Here is a 1,658-nt window from a genome sequence, read left to right on the forward strand (position 1 = left end):
GTTATACATTCGTCTAAATTTTTTTCAAAGTTTTCAACTTCTTTGCCTTTGGTTTGAATTTCCTCCTGTAGCTTGGAGTAGTTTGATCATCTGAAGCCTTCTCTCAACTTGTCAAAGTCATTCTCCATCCAGCTTTGTTCCGTTGCTGGTGAGGAGCTGCGTTCCTTTGGAGGAGGAGAGGTGCTCTGCTTTTTAGAGTTTCCAGTTTTTCTGCTCTGTTTTTTTCCCCATCTTTGTGGTTTTATATACTTTTGGTCTTTGATGATGGTGATGTACAGATGGGTTTTTGGTGTGGATGTCCTTTCTGTTTGTTAGTTTTCCTTCTAACAGACGGGACCCTCAGCTGCAGGTATGTTAGAGTTTGCTAGAGGTCTACTCCAGACCCTGTTTGCTTGGGTACCAGCAGTGGTGGCTGCAGAACAGCGGATTTTTGTGTACCGCGAATGCTGCTGTCTGATCGTTCTTCTGGAAGTTTTGTCTCAGAGGAGTACCCGGCCTTGTGAGGTGTCAGTCTGCCCCTACTGCGGGGTGCCTCCCAGTTAGGCTGCTCGGGGGTCAGGGGTCAGGGACCCACTTGAGGAGGCAGTCTGCCCATTCTCAGATCTTCAGCTGTGTGCTGGGAGAACCAATGCTCTCTTCAAAGCTGTCAGACAGGGACATTTAAGTCTATACAGGTTACTGCTGTCTTTTTGTTTGTCTGTGACCTGCCCCCAGAGGTGGAGCCTACAGAGGCAGGTGGCCTCCTTGAGCTGTGGTGGGCTCCACCCAGTTGGAGCTTCCCGGCTGCTTTGTTTACCTAAGTGAGCCTGGGCAATGGCCGGTGCCCCTCCCTCAGCCTCGCTGCCGCCTTGCAGTTTGATCTCAGACTGCTGTGGTAGCAATCAGCGAGACTCCATGGGTGTAGGACCCTCTGAGCCATGTGCGGGATATAATCTCCTGGTGCGCCATATTTTAAGCCTGTCAGAAAAGCTCAGTATTGGGGTGGGAGTGACCCGATTTTCCTGGTGCCGTCTGTCACCCCTTTCTTTGACTAGGAAAGGGAACTCCCTGACCCCTTGCACTTCCCGAGTAAGGCAATGCCTCACCCTGCTTTGGCTCGTGCATGGTGTCCTGCACCCACTGTCCTGCACCCACTGTCTGGCACTCCCTAGTGAGATGAACCCGGTACCTCAGATGGAAATGCAGAAATCACCCGTCTTCTGTGTCGCTCACGCTGGGAGCTGTAGACCAGAGCTGTTCCTATTCGGCCATCTTGGCTCCCCCCTCCAGAGTATAATTTGAAGTCAGGTAATGTGATGCCTCTAGCTTTGTTCTCTTCGCTAAATGATCAGGGAAAACTGGATGTCCATATGCAGAAGAATGACACTAGACCCCTTTGTCTCACCATGTACAAAAGTCAAATCAAAATGAATTAAATACAAATCTAACATCAGAAACTATGAAACTACTAGAAGAAAACACTAGGGAAATGCTCCAGAGTGTTGGTTTGGGCAAAGATTTTTTATGTAAGAATTCAGAAGCACAGACAACCAAAGCAAAAGGGGACAAATGGGATTATATCAAGCTAAAAAGCTCTGCACAGCAAAGGAAACAATCTACAGTAAACAGACAACCCACAGATTGGGGAAAATATTTGCAATCTGTTTATCTAACAAGAT

The 1,658-nt window shown here is 48.1% G+C and overlaps 1 annotated feature.

Annotated features, from left to right (window-relative positions):
• Positions 736–1,236: an enhancer, noted in NCBI's record as "H3K4me1 hESC enhancer chr6:98536551-98537051 (GRCh37/hg19 assembly coordinates)". NCBI's record gives its function as "activates a minimal SCP1, AML or CMV promoter by ChIP-STARR-seq in naive H9 embryonic stem cells {active_cell/tissue: H9 hESC(naive)}" and the evidence as "EXISTENCE:reporter gene assay evidence [ECO:0000049][PMID:30033119]".

Source organism: Homo sapiens, chromosome 6, assembly GCF_000001405.40.
Source record: "Homo sapiens chromosome 6, GRCh38.p14 Primary Assembly".
NCBI lineage: Eukaryota > Metazoa > Chordata > Mammalia > Primates > Hominidae > Homo > Homo sapiens.